The sequence below is a fragment of the Homo sapiens genome, chromosome X (genome assembly GCF_000001405.40).
Source record: "Homo sapiens chromosome X, GRCh38.p14 Primary Assembly".
NCBI lineage: Eukaryota > Metazoa > Chordata > Mammalia > Primates > Hominidae > Homo > Homo sapiens.
Genome location: NC_000023.11, coordinates 64,789,678 through 64,809,203, shown reverse-complemented (window position 1 = coordinate 64,809,203; position 19,526 = coordinate 64,789,678). Strand labels below are relative to the sequence as shown.

At 39.6% G+C, this 19,526-nt stretch overlaps 1 long non-coding RNA gene across 1 annotated transcript; it reads left to right on the top strand.

Moving 5' to 3' along the window:
* Positions 1-909: 909 nt before the first annotated feature.
* Positions 910-19,255, top strand: LOC124905195 (uncharacterized). The gene is made up of 2 exons (XR_007068257.1): positions 910-1,026; positions 18,566-19,255. It is a non-coding gene; the product is annotated as an uncharacterized LOC124905195 (long non-coding RNA).
* Positions 19,256-19,526: the final 271 nt, after the last annotated feature.

Here is a 19,526-nt window from a genome sequence, read left to right as displayed (position 1 = left end):
ATGGTAAATGTTGCTGCCTGATCCTTCCTCTGGAAGCTTCGTCTCAGAGGGGCACCTAGCTGTATGAGGTGTCAGTTGGCCCCTACTGGGAGGTGTCTCCAAGTTAGGCTACTCAGGGGTCAGAGACTCACTTGAGGAGGCAGTCTGTCCATTCTCAGATCTCAAACTCCGTGCTGGGAGAACCACTACTCTTTTCAAAGCTGTCAGACAGGGATGTTTAAGTCTGCAGAAGTTTCTGCTGCCCTTTGTTCAGCTATGCCCTGCCCCAAGATGTGGAGTCTACAGAGGCAGGCAGCCCTCCTTAAGCTGCAGTGGGCTCCACCCAGTTCGAGCTTCCCAGCTGCTTTGTTTACCTACTAAAGCCTCAGCAATGGCAGACACCCCTCTCTCAGCCTTGCTGCCACCTTGCAGTTTGATCTCAGACTTCTGTGCTAGCAGTGAGCCAGGCTCCGTGGGCGTGGAACCCTCCAAGCCAGGTGTGAGATATAATCTCCTGGTGTGCCGTTTGCTAAGACGATTGGAAAAGCACAGTATTAGGGTGGTAGTGTCCCAATTTTCCAGGTACCATCAGTCATGGCTTCCCTTGACTGGGAAGGGAATTCCCCGACCCATTGTGATTCCTGGGTGAGGTGATGCCCTGACCTGCTTCAGCTCACAGTCTGTGGATTGCACCCACTGTCCAACAAGCCCCAGTGAGATGAACCTTGTACCTCAGTTGGAAATGCAGAAATCTCCCATCTTCTGCATCACTCATGATGGGAGCTGTAGACTGGGGCTGTTCCTATTTGGCCATCTTGGAGGGAGTTGCTTATGGGGATTTTTTGTTGTTGTTGATTCTGTTGTTGTTGCTTTTCTGTTTTTGTATGTTTGTTTTATGTTTTCTTTTTTCTTTTTTTTTTTTCCCAATAGTCAAGTTCCTCTTCTGTAGAACTGCCTTGGATTTCTGGGGATTCACTTCAGGCCCTATTCATCCGGTTTGCTCCCATGCTTGGAGATGTCACTTGAGAAGGCTGGAGAATAGCAAAGGTGGGTGCCTGCTCCTCCCTCTGTGATCTCTGACCTCAAGGGTCACTGAACTTATGTTGGTAGAAACGTTCCTGTAAAGGATGTCTGACAACCCCTGTTGGGAGGTCTCACCCAGTTGGGTAGCCAGGGAAGCAGGACCCATTTAACGAGGCACTTTGGCTGTCTCTTGGTGGAGGGGCTCTGCTGCGCTGGGGGAAACCCACTCCTCTGGAGTTCCTGGATTTCTCAGAGCTAGCAGAAGGAAAGACCAAGTCTGCTGGTCCAAAGGGACTATGGCCACCCCTCCACCTAAGGGTTCATGCCCTGGGAGATTAGAGTTCTGTCCCTGAGCCCCTGGCTGGAGTTGGAATTCCTGCTGGAGGCCCTGCAGCCTCAGAGTTGGCTGCTGTCCCTCCCCCACGGAGCTAATATGGCTTAGACTGCAGGCAGCCACAGCAGTGGTGATGGCCACCACTTCCCCCAGGAACTTGACAGACTTAGGCTGATTCCAGCCTAGTGGGTGTTGAGAATCTGTGCAGCTCTGTAGTTGAGACCCAAGGTCCCAGTGGCATGGGCTCCTGAGTGGAATCTTCCAATCTGTGGGTTGCATAATTCTGTGGAAAAAGCATGGTTTCCCAGGCTGGGTAGCACGCCCACTCACCACCTCCCTTGGCTGGGGTGAGGACTCTCCTGCCCTGTGTGGCTCTCAGGTGGTCTGCTGCACTACACAGCTTTTCTTTCCTCTCCATGGGTCATGACAGCCACCTAGTCAGTTCTAATGACAAAACCTGGATACCTCAGTTGCTGGTGCAGTATTCACACACTGTTTTGGATCTTTTTGTTGGAAGCCTCCAACTGCCACTGCTTCTAGTTATCCACCTTGGCCCTGCCCCCCATAAATCTTAAGTGAAGGCCTGTTTAAATATTTTGCCTACTTAAAAATTGGGGTTTTTATTGTTTAGTTGTATTCAGTTATATATTCTGGATACAAGTCCTTTATCATATATGTGCTGTGCAATATTTTCTCCCAGTCTGTAGCTTGTCTTTCCATTTTCTGAACAGTGTAAGATGTAAGCTGTAAGCTCTACTTTTAAAATGTATTCACAATCCCACCACTTCTCATGTCTTCTATGCTGCTATGCTAGTCCAGGTCACCATCATCTCTTGCTTAGACCACTGCAATAGTATCCTAGTTGATCTCCTTGCTTCCACTTTTGTCTCCATTAAGTGTATTCTCCACATAGTAGCAAGAGTGATGTCATTAAAACTTAAAACATATTATGTCATTACCTGTTTAAAACCATTTAAATTTCCATTTTGGAGTAAAAGCCAAAGTCCTTAAAATGGTCTATAAAGTCTTATATGATCTGCAAAACCCTTTCTACTTGTCACCCCTCTGACCTCTTCTACTACTCTCCTCTTCATCCATTTTATTCCGGATTCACTGACTTTTTTTTTTTTTTTTTTTTTTTTTTTTGCTACTCCTCAAAATTCTAAGCACGTTTATATCTTTGCATTTGCTGTCTTCCTTGGAACAGTCCTCTCCTAGATATGTTCATGGCTTACTCTCTCACCTTTTTTAGGTGAGACCTTCTCATTGAAGCCTTCTCTGTCTTTTTTCATCTCCTTTTTTCTGACTTATTTTTCCACAACATTTATCATCATCAGATATATAATATAATTTACTTATTTGTTTAAGTTTACTATATATCTTTCTCCCACCAGCGTGTAAGTTCCATAAGGAGATAATTTTTTTCTGTTCTGTTCAAGGCTGTATACCAGTCTAGAATAATTCTTAGCAAATAGTAGATGCTCAATGATGATTTTCCTAATGAATGAATGATTTTCTGTGTGTAGCTTCCTGTCCCAATTTTTTAACACTACGCTCTGCTAACCACCTTATCTCAGACCCAAATGCCATGAATCTGGCTTATCTGTCACCTATTCTGGTTGTATTCCTTAGAATCCAATTCATTGCCTGCCAGACTGAACTTCCTTCAGATACCTATCTCTTTGAAAGAAGGGATCTAGTTCTACATCCCAGCACCTTTCTTTTCGTCCTTCTCTATTGTAGTCAAACAAGTCTTATAAGTCTGCGTCCTAAGATATCTGCAGAATATGGAACATTATGTTTTCACTTTGTGGCAGGGAAGCTGACAAAACTCCATAGTAGAGTGAACATCCTTCCAGAGAAAAGCCTCCAGATTTTTCCTGGCCCAGCCTGTCTTCCATAATGCAAAGAGCAAGAAACCACTGACACTTGCCAAGAGTCTTTGTACAGTCACGATGAATCACAAACCACTTTACTTCTCAAGCCAGATATGGTATAGCTAGTGTAGCAGCTTGTAATTTAATGATCAAAGCTGAACCTCATGACTCTCACTCTTGAGAACCACAAAACTCAACCATATGACCCTCACTTTTGAGACTCTTCTCTACCTCTAATGACAGGAGGGGTCAACTTAAAGGCTACAGATGCAGAGAGCAGATGGATTTGAAGGTATAACTCACAAATATTACAGATTTGGTTTCAGACCACTGCAATAAAGTGAATATAGCAATAAAGTGGGTCATTAAAATTTATTGGTATCTCAGTGCATATAAAAGTTTTATTTATACTATACTGAAATCTACTGTGTGCAATAGCATTATGTCTAAAAAATGTATGTATCTTATCAAAAATAGTTTATTGCAAAAAATGCATATGATCATCTGAGCCCTCGAGGAGTTGTAATCTTTTTACTGGTGGAGGCTTTGCTCAATGATGATGGCTGCTGACTGATCAAGGTGGTGTATGCTGAAGGTTGAGATGGTTGTGGCAATTTCTTAATGTAACAATGAAGTTTGCCACATTAATTGGCTCTTCCTTTCACAAAATTTTTCTATGTAGCATGTGGTGCTGTTTGATAGCAATTTACCCACTGTAGAACTCCTTCTTTTTTTTTAAATTATTATTATACTTTAAGTTTTAGGATACATGTGCACAACGTGCAGGTTTGTTACATATGTATACATGTGCCATGTTGGTGTGCTGCACCGATTAACTCCTCATTTACATTAGGTATATCTACTAATGTTATCCCTCCACCCTCCCCCCACCCGACAACAGGCCCCAGTGTGTGATGTTCCTCTTCCTGTGTCCATGTGTACTCATAGTTCAATTCCCACCTATGAGTGAGAACATGCGGTGTTCGGTTTTTTGTCCTTGTGATAGTTTGCTGAGAAAGATGGTTTCCAGCTTCATCCATGTCCCTGCAAAGGACATGAACTCATCCTTTTTTATGGCTGCATAGTATTCCATGGTGTATATGTGCCACATTTTCTTAATCCAGTCTATCACTGTTGGACATTTGGGTTGGTTCCAAGTCTTTGCTATTGTGAATAGTGCCGCAATAAACATACGTGTGCATGTGTCTTTATAGCAGCATGATTTATAGTCCTTTGGGTATATACCCAGTAATGGGATGGCTGGGTCAAATGATATTTCTAGTTCTAGATCCCTGAGGAATCGCCACACTGACTTCCACAATGGTTGAACTAGTTTACAGTCCCATCAACCGTGTAAAAGTGTTCCTATTTCTCCACATCCTCTCCAGCACCTGTTGTTTCCTGACTTTTTAATGATCGCCATTTTAACTGGTGTGAGATGGCATCTCATTGTGGTTTTGATTTGCATTTCTCTGATGGCCAGTGATGATGAGCATGTTCTCATGTGTCTTTTGGCTGCATAAATGTCTTCTTTTGAGAAGTGTCTGTTCATATCCTTCACCCACTTTTTGATGGGGTTGTTTGTTTTTTTCTTATAAATTTGTCTGAGTTCATTGTAGATTCTGGATATTAGCCATTTGTCAGATGAGTAGGTTGCAAAAATTTTCTCCCATTCTGTAGGTTGCCTGTTCACTCTGATGGTAGTTTCTTTTGCTGTGTAGAAGCTCTTTAGTTTAATTAGATCCCATTTGTCAATTTTGGCTTTTGTTGCCACTGTTTTTGGTGTTTTAGACATGAAGTCCTTGCCCATGCCTATGTCCTGAATGGTATTGCCTAGGTTTTCTTCTAGGGTTTTTATGGTTTTAGGTCTAACATGTAAGTCTTTAATCCATCTTGAATTAATTTTTGTATAAGGTGTAAGGAAGGGATCCAGTTTCAGCTTTCTACATATGGCTAGCCAGTTTTGCCAGCACCATTTATTAAATAGGGAATCCTTTCCCTATTGCTTGTTTTTGTCAGGTTTGTCAAAGATCAGATAGTTGTAGATATGCGGCATTATTTCTGAGGGCTCTGTTTTGTTCCATTGGTCTACATCTCTAGAGGTAGTCTTTTAATCACTTAAATCTTAAATCGGCTTCATTTCCTGTAACCATCTTGTAATTGAATGTTGATATCTTTCTCTAGGTTTGGAAATTTCTCTGTTATTATCCTTTTGAATAAATTTTCTACCCCATCTCTTTCTCTACCTCCACATTAAGTCCAATAAATCTTAGATTTGCCCTTTTGAGGCTGTTTTCTGGATCCTGTAGGTGTGCTTCATTTTTTTTTTTATTTTGTCTCCTCTGATTGTGTATTTTCAAATAGCCTATCTTCAAGCTCATTAATTCTGTCTTCTGCTTGATCCATTTTTCCATTAAAGAACTCTAATGTATTCTTCAGTATGCATTTTTTAGCTCCAGAATTTCTGCTCGATTTTTAATACTTATTTGAATCTCTTTGTTAAATTTATCTAAGAAACTTTTGAATTTCTTCTTTGTGTTATCTTGAATTTTTTTTAGTTTCTTCAACACAGCTATTTTGAATTCTCTGTGTGAAAAGTCACATATCTCTGTTTTGCCAGGATTGGTCCCTGGTGGCTTATTTACTTCATTGTTTGAGGTCATGTTTTCCTGGATGATGTTGATGCTAGCAGTTGCACTTTGGTGTCTGGGCATTGAAGAGTTGGGTATTTATTGTAGCCTTCACTGTCTGGATTTATTTGTAGCCATACATCTTGAGAAGGCTTTCCAGCTATTTGAAAGAACTTGATTGCTGTCTTCTTAGGTGTTTCTGCTATAGTGGACACCCCAGGCACAGTAATTCTGTGGTTCTTACAGACTCATAGAGGTACTGCCTTGATGGTCTCGGACAAGATCCAAGAGAATTTTCTGGGTTGTCAGGCAGAAACTCTTGTTCTCTCCCCTTACTTTCTCCCAAACATACAGTCTCTTTTTCTGTTTTGAGCCACCTAAAGCTGGTGGCAGAGTGACACAAACAACCTGGTGGCTATTACCACTATGACTGCACTGGGTCAGACCTGAAGCCAGCACAGAACTGTGTCTCATGCAAGGTCTGCTATAACAACTCCCTGGCTACTGCTTATGTTCACTTAAGGCCTTAGGGCTCTACAATTAGCAGATGGCAAAGCCAGCTAGGCCTGTATTCTTCCCTCCAGGTTGGTGAATTCCCCTAAACCAAACATGTGTCCAGAAGTGCCATCCAGGAGTCAGTCAAAAACCTTAGAAGTCTACCTTGCATTGTATTGTATTGCAGCTGAGCTGTCACTCAAACCACAAGACATGGTTCTTCCCACTCTTTCCTTCCCTTTCCAAAGACAGAGAAGCCTCACCTTGTAGTCACCACAACTTCTGGCCACGAGGAGTACTGTCAGATGACCACTGATATCGCCCTAAGGCCCAAGGTCTCTTAAGTCAGCTTGTGGTGAATGCTGCCTTGCCTGGGACTTACCCTTCTGACCTAGGGCAGGTCCAGAAATGCCATCCAGGAGGAGTCAAGTCCTGAAATTGGGGACCTCAGGAGCCCACTTGGTGCTCTATCCCCCTGTGGTGGTGTTGGTACCTAAGGTGCAAGACAAAGTCCCTTTTACTTTTTCCTCTGCTTTTCTCAAGCAGAATAAATTTTGCCCCATAGCCACCACAGCTGGTAATATGCTGAGTCTCACCTGAAGCCAGGAAGTCTCAGAGGCTTATCCAGTCTCTTGATGTAGTAGCTGGGTATTATTGCTGGTTTTTTAGGGCCCAAGGGCTCTTCAGGTAGCAGGTAATGAATGTTGTCTGTACTAAGTCCTTTCCTTCAAGACAGTGACTTCCCTTCTGGCCCAGAAGGTGTCTAGGAATGTTGTCTTGGAGCTAGGCCCTGGAACAGGGGCCTCACAACATTGACTGTTGCCTTTTTCTGCTGTGGCTGAGCTGGTACTTAAGATGTAAGACAAAGTATTTTCCACTCTTTCATCAAGTGGAAGGAAGAGGTCTCTTTTGGCGCCTTGAACTTTGCAGACTGGGGCTATGGGAGGGGGTATGCTAGTACTCCTTTGACTGCCCCAGCTGGTTTCTCAGTATGTCACATGGCACCCTCCACAGCAGTCCACTCTCTCTGGACCTAGTTCAGCCTCTAGAACTGCTGACGAATTGAAGCCTTTATGGCCTAGACTGCCTTTTGCATTTGCTTAGAGACCAAGAGAACTTTGGCCCTTGTTGATGAGGTTTGCAGCTACTCAGGTTCAGATCACTGGGATCAGTGATTCCTCTCTGGCTGGGGTTAATTTAAATGCTCCCTCTGTGGGCGGGCCTCAGCTGAGTTTGGTCTAGTTTCTCTTTCTGTCTTAACAGGACAGCACTGAGTTCAAGGCCTCAGAATTGCAGTGTTCTTCCTCTCCCAGTGCCCAGAGATGCTCTCTACACCATGCTGCTGCTGCTGGGGGTAGGAAAAGGGTAGGATTGGTGATTCAGGGCTTTTTTCTATCTCTTCAGTGCCTCTTTCAGCAATACCAAGAAAATGGAAAGCAAAAAAAAAAAAAAAAAGCAAAGGTTGCAATCCTAGTCTCTGATAAAACAGACTTGAAGCCAACAAAGGTCAAAAAAGACAAAGAAGGACATTACATAATGGTAAAGGGGCTAATTTAACAAGAAGTGCTAACTATTCTAAATACATGTACACCCAATCCAGGAGCATCCAGATTCATAAAACAAGTTCTTAGGGACCTACAAAGAGACCCAGACTCTCACACCATAACAGTGGGAGACTTTTACACTACATTGTCTATATTAGACAGATCAATGAGACAGGAAATTAACCAGGATATTCAGGACTTGAACTCAGCTCTGGACCAAGCAGACCTAATAGACATCTACGGAACTCTCCACCCCAAATCAACAGAATATACATTCTTCTCAGCACACATAGCACTTATTCTAAAATCAACCACATAATTGGAAGTAAAACACCCCTCAGCAAATGCAAAAGGATGGAAATTATAACAAGCAGTCTCTCAGTCCACAGTGCAATCAAATGAGAACTCTGAATTAAGAAACTCACTCAAAATAGCACAATTACATGAAAACTGAAAAACCTACTCCTGCGTGGATACTGGGTAAATAACGAAATTAAGGCAGAAATAAAGAAGTTCTTTGAAACCAATGAGAACTAATAGAGAACATACTAGAATCTCTGGGACACAGCTAAAACAGTGTTAAGAGGGAAACTTATAGCACTAAGTGCCCACATCAGAAAGTGGGAATGACCTAAAATCAATGCACTAACATCACAATTGAAAGAACTAGAGAAGCAAGAGCAAAAAATTTCAAAATATAGCAGAAGACAAGAAATAACTAAATTAGGGCAGAACTGAATGGGATAGAGAAACGAAAAACCCTTCAAAAAAATCACTGACATCCAGGCGAACACGGTGAAACCTTGTCTCTACTAAAAATACCAAAAAAAAAAAATAAATAACCAGGCATGGTGGCAGGCACCTCTAGTCCCAACTACTTGGGAGGCTGAGGCAGGAGAATGGCGTGAACCCAGGAGGCAGAGCTTGCAGTGAACTGAGATCCCACCACTGTACCAGCCTGGGTGACAGAGCGAGACTTTGTCTCAAAAAAAAAAAAAAAAAAAAATCACTGAATCCAGAAGTTGTTTTTTTGAAAATACTAACCAAATTGATAGACTGCTAGCTAGACTAATAAAGAAGAAAAGAGAGAAGAAAAAAAAGCACAATAAAAAATAATAAAGGGCACATCACCACTGATCCCACAGAAATAAAAACTACCATTGGAGAACACTATAAACACCTCTATGCAAATAAACTAGAAAATCTAGAAGAAATGGATAAATTCCTGGACACATACACCTTCCCAAGACTAAACCAGGAAGAATTTGAATCCCTGAAAAGACCAATAAAAAGTTGTATAATTGAGGCAGTAATTAATAGCCTACTAACCAAAAAAAGCCCAGTATCAGATGGATTCACAGCCAAATTCTACCAGAGGCACAAAGAGGAGCTTGTACCATTCCTTCTGAAACTATTCCAACCTTCAGAATAAAAAATACTCCTCCCTAACTCATTTTGTTAGGCCAGCATCATCCTGATATGAAAACCTGGCATATACACAACAACAACAACAAAAATTTCAGGTCAACATCTCTGAAGAACAACAATGCGAAAATCCTCAATAAAATACTGGCAAACTGAATCCAGCAGCACATCAAAAAGATTATCCACCATGATCAAGTTGGCTTCATCCCTGGGATGCAAGGATGTTTCAACATACGCAAATCAATAAACATAATACATCACAGAAAAACAGAACCAATGGCTAAAATCACACGATTATCTCAATAGATGCAGAAATGGTCTTCAATAAAATTCAACAACCTTCATGCTAAAAACTGCCAATAAACTAGGTATTGATGAAACATATCTCAAAATAATGAGAGCTATTTATAGTCAATACCATACTGAATGGGCAAAATCTGAAAGCATTCCCCTTGAAAACCAGCACAAGACAAGGATGCCCTCTCTCCCACTTTTATTCAACAAAGTATTAAAAGTTCTGACCAGGGCCATCGGGCAGGAGAAAGAAATAAAATATATTCAAATAGGAAGAGAGGATGTCAAATTGTCTCTGTTTGCAGTTGACATGATTCAATATTTAGAAAACCCCATCATCTCAGCCCAAAAACTCCTTAAGCCTATAAGCAACTTCAGCAAAGTCCCAGTATAGAAAATCAACATGCAAAAATCACAAGCATTCCTATACAACAGTAATGCACAAACAGAGAGCCAAATCATGAGTGAACTCCCATTCACAATTGCTACAAAGAGAATAAAATACCTAGGAATACAACTTACAATGGACAAGAAGGAGGTCTTCAAAAAGAACTACAAACCACTTCTCAAGAAAATAAGAGAGGACACAAACAAATGGAAAAAAATTCCATGCTCATAGATAGGTAGAACCAATATTGTGAAAATGGCCATCTTGCCCAAAGTATTTTACAGATTCAATGCTATTCTCATTAAGCTACCATTGACTTTCTTCATATTATTAGAAAAAACTACTTTAAATTTTATATGGAAACAAAAAGAGCCCATATAGCCCAGCCAATTCTAAGCAAAAAGAACAAAACTGAAGGCATCACTGTACCTGACTTCAAACTATACTACAAAGCTACAGTATTCAAAACAGCCTTTTTACTGGTACCAAAACAGATATATAGACCAATGGAATATAACAGAGGCCTCAGATATAACACCACACATCTACAAGCATCTGATCTTGGACAAACCTGACAAAAACAAGCAATGGGGAAAGGATTCCCTATTTAAAAAATGGTGCTGGAAAAACTGGCTAGCCATATGCAGAAAACAGAAACTGGACCTCTTCCTTACACTTCATGCAAAAATTAACTCAAGATGGATTAGACACTTAAACGTAAGACCTAAAACTTAGGTCTAAAATTTAATTAGATCCCATTTGTCAATTTTGGCTTTTGTTGCAATTGTTTTTGGCATTTTCATCATGAAGTCTTTTCCCATGCCTATGTCCTGAATGGTATTGCCTAGGTTTCTTCTAGGGTTTTTATGGTTTTGGATTTTACGTTTAAGTGTTTAATCCATCTTGGGTTGATTTTTGTATATGATATAAGAAAGCGGTCCAGTTTCTGTTTTCTGGATATGGCTAGCCGGTTTTCCCAGCACCATTTATTGAATAGAAGATCCTTTACCCATTGCTCATTTTTGTCATGAGGATGAAATGTTTTTCCATTTTTTTGTGTGTGTGCTTTCTGATTTCCTTGAGCAGTGGTTTGTAGCTCTTCTTGAAGAGATCATTCACATCCTTTGTTAGCTGTATTTGTAGGTATTTTATTTTCTTCATAGCAATTGTGAATGGGAGTTCATTCATGATTTGGCTGTCTGCTTGTCTATTGTTGGTGTAAAGGAATGCTTGCAATTTTTGCACATTGATTTTGCATCCTGAGATTTCACTAAAATTGGTTATAGGCTTAAAGAGTTTTTGGACTGAGATAATGGGTTTTTCTAAATATACAATCATGTCGTCTGCAAACAAAAACAATTTGACTTCCTCTCTTCCTATTTCCATACCATTTCTTTCTTTCTCTTGCCTGATTGCCCTAACCAGAACTTCCAATACTATGTCGAACAGTAGTGGTGAGAGAGGGCATCCTTGTCTTGTACCTGTTTTCAAAGGGAATGCTTCCAGCTTTTGCCCATTCAATATGATATTGGCTGTGGGTTTGCCATAAATTTATCTTATTATTTTGAGATATGTTCCATAAATAACTAGTTTATTGAGAGTTTTTAGCATGAAGCGATGTTGAATTTTATCAAAGACCTTTTCTGCATCTATTGAGATAATCATGTGTTTTTTGTCTTTGGTTCTGTTTTTGTGATGGATTATGTTTATCAATTTGTGTATGTTGAACAGCCTTGCATCCCAGGAATGAAGCCGACTTGATCGTGGTGGATAAGTTTTTTGATATGCTGCTGGATTCGGCTTGCCAGTATTTTATTGAGCATTTTCTCATGGACGTTCATCAGGGATATTTGCATGAAGTTTTCTCTTTTTTGTTGTGTCTCTGCCCGGTTTTGGTATCAGGATGATACTGGCTTCATCAAATGAGTTAGAGAGGAGTCCCTCCTTTTCAAGTGTTCGGAATCGTTTCAGAAGAAATGATATCAGCTCCTCTTTGTTAGATATGTACTTTCAATGCCTAGTTTGTTGCAGATTTTCTGTCTTGAAGGGATGTTGAATTTATTGTTTTTGTTTTTAATTCTGTTTATGTTTTGAGTCACATTTATTGATTTGCATATTTTGAACCAACCTTGAATCTCAAGAATGAAGCCTACTTCTTTATGGTGAATTACCTTTTTCATGTGCTGCTGGTTTTAGTTTGTATTTTATTGAGGACTTCTGTGGCTATGTTCATCAGGGGTATTGGTCTCTAATTTTTTTTTTTTTTTCGGTTGTGCCTTTGCCAGGTTTTCATATGACATTGATGCTGGCTTGTTAAAATGAGTTAGACAGGAGTTCCTCTTTGATTTTTTGAAATAGTTTTAGTAGAGTTGGTACCAGCTCTTCTTTGAATATATGGTAGAATTTTTCTGTCAATTCATCTAGTCTGTGGCCTTTTTTGGTTGGTAGGTTATTACTGATTCAATTTCAGAACTTGATATTGTTTTGTTCAGAGTTCCAATTTTTTCCTGATTCAATCTTGTGAGGTTGTATATTTCCAGGAATTCATCCATTTCCCCTAGATTTTCTAGTTTGTGTGCACAGAGGCGTTCACAATAGTGTCTGAAAATCTTTTGCATTATTGTGGGATTGGTTGTGATGTCACCTTTGTTGTTTCAGATTGTGGTTATTTGAATCTTCTCCCATTTTTTTCTTTGTTAATCTAGCTACTGGCCTATTGATCTTGTTTATCCTTACAAAAACCAACTTTCGGTTTTTTTTTTTTTGATTCTTTGCATGAATATTTGAGTCTCAACTTCATTTGCTTCTGCTTCCATTTTACTTATTTCTTTTTTTCTCCTAGCTTTGGTATTAATTTGTCTCTATTCTTCTAGTTCCTCTAGATATGATATTATATCATTAATTTGAGATCTCCTAACTTTTTGAGATAGGTGTATAGTGCTACAAACTTTTCTGTTAGCACTGCTTTTGCTGTATCCCAGAGATTTTGATGTGTTGTGTCTCTGTTTTCATTAATTTCAAATAATTTTTGATGTCTGCATTAATTTCATTTTTTTACCAAAAAGCCATTCAGAAGCAAGTTTTTCAATTTCCATGTAATTGTGTAGTTTTGAGAGATTTTATTGGTATTGATTTGTACTTTTATTGCACCATGGTCCAAGAGTATATTTGGTATGACTTAAATTTTTTTTAAATGTACTGAGACTTGCTTTATGGCTGACCATGTAATTGATCTTGGAGTATATTCTGTGTGCAGATGAGAAGAATGTATATTTTGTTGTTAATGGGTGGAACATTTTGTGGATGTCTATTAGGTTCAATTTTGGTCAAGTGTTGAATTTAATTCCAGAACTTCTTTATTAGTTGTCTGCCTTGATGATCTGTCTAACGCTGTCAGTAGGGTGTTGAAGCTCTCCACTATAATTGTGTGGCTGCCTATGCTTTATTGTAGGTCTGGAAGTACTTGTTTTATGAATATGGGTATTGCAATGTTGGATACCTATCTAGTTAGTATAGTTAAGTCTTGTTGAATTGAATCCTCTATAAGTATGTGATGCCCTTCTTTCTTCTTTTTTACTGTTGTTGGCTTAAAGACTGTTTTATCTGATATAAGAATAGTAGCCCCTGTTTTTTTGTTTTTTATTTGTGTGATAGATCTTTCTCCAACCCTTTACTTTGAGCCTAAGGCTGTCATTACATGTAAGGTGGGTCTCTTTTTTTTGTTATTGTTGTTGTTTTTTCATACTTGCCACTCATGGCTTGTAGGTGGGGCATTAACATCATTAACATTCAACATTAATATTGATATGTGCGGTTTTTATCCTACTATGAAGTTGTTAGCTGGTTGCTGTGTAGTTTCTGTTGTGTGATTGCTTTATAGGGTGAGTGGCCTATGTACTGAAGTGTGTTTTTGTGGAAGCAGGTATTGTTCTTTTATTTCCATGTTTAGATCTCCCTTAAGGATCTCTTGTAAGCCTGATCTGGTGCTAATAAATTCCTTTACACCTTGCTTACTTGGAAAATATTTCATTTCTCCTTCACTTCTGAAGCTTAGTTCAGTGGGACAAAAAATTCTTGGTTGGAATTTATTTCCTGAAGAATGCTGAAACTAAGCCCCCAGCTTTTAATCTTCCTGCTGAGAAATTTGCTCTTAGCCTGATGGGGTTCCTTTTGCACATGATGTGACCTTTTCCTCTAGGTGTCTTTAAGATTTTTCTTTAGTGTTGACCTTGAACAGTCTGGTGACTATATGCCTTGGTAATGTTTTGTTTGTATAGTATCTCATAAGGTGTTCTCCAGATCTCTTGTATCTGGATTTGTACCTGTCTAGCAAGGTTAGTGGATTTTTAAAAAAATTATTATTTCATACATGTTTTCCAAGTTGTTTACTTTCTCTTCTCTCTCAAGAGTGCCAATAATTTGTAGTTTGGTAACTTTACACAATCTCATACTTCTCAAAGATTTTCTTTATTGTTTTTTAATTCAATTTTCTTTATTTTTGTCTGACTGGTTTAGTTCAAAAGAATGGTCATCAAACTCTGAAATTCTTTCTTCTGCTTGGTCCAGTCTATTGATGAAGCTTTCAATTGGTTTTTGAAATTTCTTAAGTAAGTTTTTCAGTTTCAGAAGCTCTAATTTATTTCCTTTTGCAATGTTTATCTTTTCCTTCATTTTCTGGATTGATTTAGAAGGTTTTTTGTGTTGATTTTCAATCTTCTTTTGGATCTCATTGAGCTTCCTTTTATTCCATGTTTTGAATTCTTTGTCACTTCTGAGTTTCCATTTTGGTTAGAAACCATTTGTGGAGAACTAATGTTATCATTTAGTGGAGTCATTACACTCCATTTGAATTCTTTGAATTCTTTGTCATTTTTGAGTTTCCATTTTGGTTAGAAACCATTTGTGGAGAACTAATGTTCTCATTTAGTGGAGTCATTACACATAGATTTTTCATGATGACATAATCTCTGTGCTGGTTTCTTTTCATCTGGAGACACTGACACTTTTAATTTTTGTAATTATTTTCCTGGTTAGAGACTTTTTTCTTTCCTTCTCAATAATATTGTCATTTTGCATTTTCCTTTCCTTTCTGTTACTCTGTAAGGGATATGACTGTATAGAAGGCTGGGTAGGGTCTTTTGGCTTTGCTTCTGTAGCCTTATGTACTTCTCTTGGCAAGTTTTATATTGGGCTTTATGATTCACCATACAAGCCAATAGATAGCACTTATTGATAAGAGCCAGCTGTGGCCATTGTGGCTGGGAATATACATGATTTTTGCTTACTGGGAGAAGTTATATGTTGACTCAGGCAATGGGCTGATCCATGGAGTGTACAGTGATCTGAGCTCCCTGCTCAGCTCCAAGCAGTACCAAGATGGGTGGGTCCAGAGTAGGCAGGCCTACTCACAGGCCTCTCAATGGCAGGCACAAGCACCAGCACCAAGGGATAATCCAGTTTGCCCAGATGTGTGCCTAATGTGGATAACCAAGTGCCCAGATGTGTGCCCAAATGTGGAAGTGGAGCTAGTAAACCTCCTTGGTCCCAAGTACTCTTTATGGGGGGTGGCCTAAAGTCCTAATCCAGGAGAGTGGGTGTTCCAGCTGCTTTCAGATCTGCCTGGGTGTGTAGTATAGAATGCCCAAATGCACCAGAATCTCTGTTTAGGAAGGGTTGGATGGTTCAGGCTGCTAATCCAGGCAAGCAGCTGTTTTGAATGCAAGATATACCTCGATGTGAAGTGTGGACAGCCCCACTTCACCATGATCTCTTCGCAGAAAGGATAGGGCTACTCAGGCTACTAATTCAGGTGAGCAGGTCCTTCAAATGCCTGGAGATCTGCTTGGGCATGGAGTGGAGAGGGCCCTGTTCCACCACAGCCTCTGTGCAGGAAGGATGAGTAACTCAGGCTGCTGATCCACACAAACAGGTGCTCTGACTACCTGTAGATCTACCTGGATGTGAAGCAGAGAGGGCCCCAATTCACCACAGTCTCTGCACAATAAGGGTGGGGTGACTCAGACTGCTGATTCAGGCAAGTAGGTGCTCCAAATACCTGGACATCTGCTGGGTGTGAACTGAAGAGGGCACTCCTGCACCACAATGTATGCCCAGGAAGAATGGGGCAACTTGAGCTGCTGTTTCAGGCAAATGGGTGTTCCAAATGGTTGGAGTTCTGCCTGGTGATAGAATGGAGGGGGTTGCACTACACCACCATCTCAGGGAAACAGGCTGGGACATCTATCAGTGACACACCAACCTTACCAGGTTACCAAGTTGGCCCTTGCTGCAAGTATTCTTGCCCAAAAGAAACCCTGACTTTAGTGGCTCCCAGGGAGACAGGATGGGGAAGAGCACATTCTCACCTTCTGCAATGGGGTAGAGCATTTCTGGCACCTAATGCTTAGGTGCTTTCCACAATTCTGTCTGGGAAAGCCCCTACCCTACTCCAATCTTTGGCCTGAAACTAAAATGCTGGCACAGCCATGCTGTTGGGTCACCAAAGAATAACTGACTTTGTATGTGCCTGGATTAAAAGTGACATCCTGCTCTTAGTCCCAGGTCTGGGAGGATACCTGCAGCTTTTCTCAGTGTCTTTCCCTCTGAGCACTTTCAAGCCTCTCCTGAAATTAGTTCCAAGGCTGAAAGAAATAAAGGGCTTCCCTTGTCCTGGTTTGCTCAGATCTCCAGGGGAAAGGTAAATCACAGAGGGAGGCTTTTTGCCTCTCTCATGTACTGGGGCTTCATGCAATTTTATCAGTTGGATGCCATCAAAGGAGCTGTTTTCTTATGATCTTCTTTCCAGGATCAGGAGTGTCATTCACAATTCTGGTAGATTCCTGTTTTTCTTCTTAAATTAAAGCTCACAGAATTGATCTTTATGCACTTTTTACTATTTTCAAGTGGCTGCGCCATGATAAAAGCCTCTAATTTACTGTGTTGGAAAAAACTTTTTTCAAAATAGGAATCAATTTTCCCATACCTTTTCACTGCTTTGTCAACTAAGTTTATGTAATATTCTAAATACATATATTTATGTATTTATGTATATTTATGTATGTTTATGTATTAGTATTTATGTATGTTTGTGTAATATTATAAATATTCTAAATATTTGTTTTCATTTCAATAATATTCACATAATCTTCACTAGTAGATTTCATCTCAAGAAACCACTATCTTTGCTCATCCAGAAGAAGCAACTACTAATTTATTAAGATTTTATCATGAAATTGCAGTAATTCAGTCACATCTTCCACATCTGCAGTGACTTCCTTCACTGAAGTTGTGAACCCCTCAAAATTATCTATGAGAGTTTGAATCAACTTCTTCCAAATCTCTGTTAATGTTGATATTTTGAACTCCTCCATTGAAGCATCAATGTTCTTAATGGCATCTAGAATGGTGATTCCTTTCCAGAAGGTTTTCAACGTACTTTTCCCAGATCCCTCAGAGGAATCACTATGACAGTTATTGCCTTATGAAATGTATTTCTTAAATAATAAGACTTGAATGTAGAAATTAGTCTGATTCATGAGCTGCAGAAAGGATTTATGTTAGCAGGCATGAAACACTAATAATCTCCTTGTACGTCTCTACCAGAGCTCTCGAGTGACTACGTGCATTGCCAATGATAATTGAGATTTTGAAAGAATTTTTTTTTTTCTGAGTGGTAGGTCTCAACAGTGGGCTTAAAATATTCAGTAAGCCCTGCTGTAAACAAATGTGCTATCATCTAGGCTTTGTTTTTCCATTTAGAAAGCATAGGTAGAGTAGAATTAGCAAAATTTTTAAAAGTACATAAGATTTTGGAAGTGATAAACAAACATTGGCTTCAACTTAGTCACCAGCTGTGTTAGCCCCTAATAAGTGAATCAGTATGTCTTTTGAAGCTTTGAAACCAGACATTGAGTTGTCTTCTCTAGCTATAAAAGTCATAGGTGGTAGCCTTTTCCAATAGAAGGCTGTTTTGTCTACATTGGAAATTCGTTGCTTAGTGTAGCCACCCTTACCAATTATCTTAGCTAGATATTTTGGATAACTTGCTGCAGCTTCTCCAACAGCACTTTCTGCCTCACCTTGTAATTTTTATGTTATAAAGATAGCTTTTTTTTCTTAAATTTTATGAACCAACGTTTGCTAGCTTCCAATTTTGTTTTTCTGAAGCTTCTTCACCTCTCTCACCTTTCACAGAATTGAAGAGAGTTAGGGCCTTGCTCTGGACTAGGCTTTGGCTTAAGGGAATGTTGTGGTTGGTTTGATTATCTACCCAGACCCCTAAAGCTTTATCCCTATAAGGGTGTTTTACATTTCTTTATAATTTGCATATTCATTGGTGTAGCACAATTAATTTTCTTTAAGAACTTTTCCTTTGCATTTACAGCCTGGCTAACTGTTTAGTGCAAGAGGCCTAGCTTTCAGCCTACCTAAATTTTCAACATGCATTAATCACTAAGCTTAATCATTCATAGCCTTTGATTTAAAGTGAGAAATGTGTGACTTTCCTTTTTACTTGAACACTTAGAGGCCATTGTAGGATTGTTAATTGGCCTAATTTCAATATTGTTGTGTTTCAGGCAATAGGAAGGCCCAAGAAGAGGAAGAAAGATTGAGGAAATGGCCAGTTTGTGCAGCAGTCAGAACATACGCATTTACTGATTAAGCTTGCTGTTATATATGGATGCAGTTTGTGGCACCTCAAAATAATTACAAAAGCAACATTAAAGATCACTGATCACAAATCACCATAACATATATAATAAGAATGGAAAAGTTTGGTATATTGCAAACATGACCAAACTGTGACACAGAGACACAAAGTGAGTGCACGGTGTTTAAAAAAATGGTGCAATAGACTTACTCAACACAGGGTTGCCACATATCTTCAATATGTAAAAAATGCAAAGTCTGCAAAGTGCAATAAAGAAAAGCATAATACAATGAAGTATGCCTATAGATAATTGCCAATGACTCATGTTCAGGATTACAGAAAAATGAGTGTTGTTGCTTTGAGAAGGAAAGGGTCCTGGGTCTGGGGTATCATAAGAAGTCATATCAGAATGGATAGAAACCAGAGGCTTGGTAAGATGCTTCCCTTAAAATGTCAGAAGGTAAAACTGTCAGAAACACCATTGCCAGCACTCCTGAGCCTGGCATGAGACTGAGGACCTTAAATGTAGTGGCTATATATCTCTCGTGTTCTGCTGTAGCCCTGAATCCTGGCACAGATCTGGAGTTCAATAAATCTTTGCTGAACTTTTTAATAATCCTGCTACATTCTTTGTGAGCCATTTTCTTAGCTTTTTAATCAATTTTCTTAGATACTTAGAGTTACTCTGACTTTCAAGGGTATTCATGACTGCTCCATACCATTGTGTACAGGTTAAAGGAGTAAATGAAGACTGAAATCCAGTCTGCACTCCACTAGCCAAACTGTGTGTCCTACAACTAGGCTGTGCCCCCCCAAGAGGAAAAAAGTATTTTTTAATTTGCCCAAAGGTACTGTATGGCCTAATGACATTCCTAGGAGTATTCATT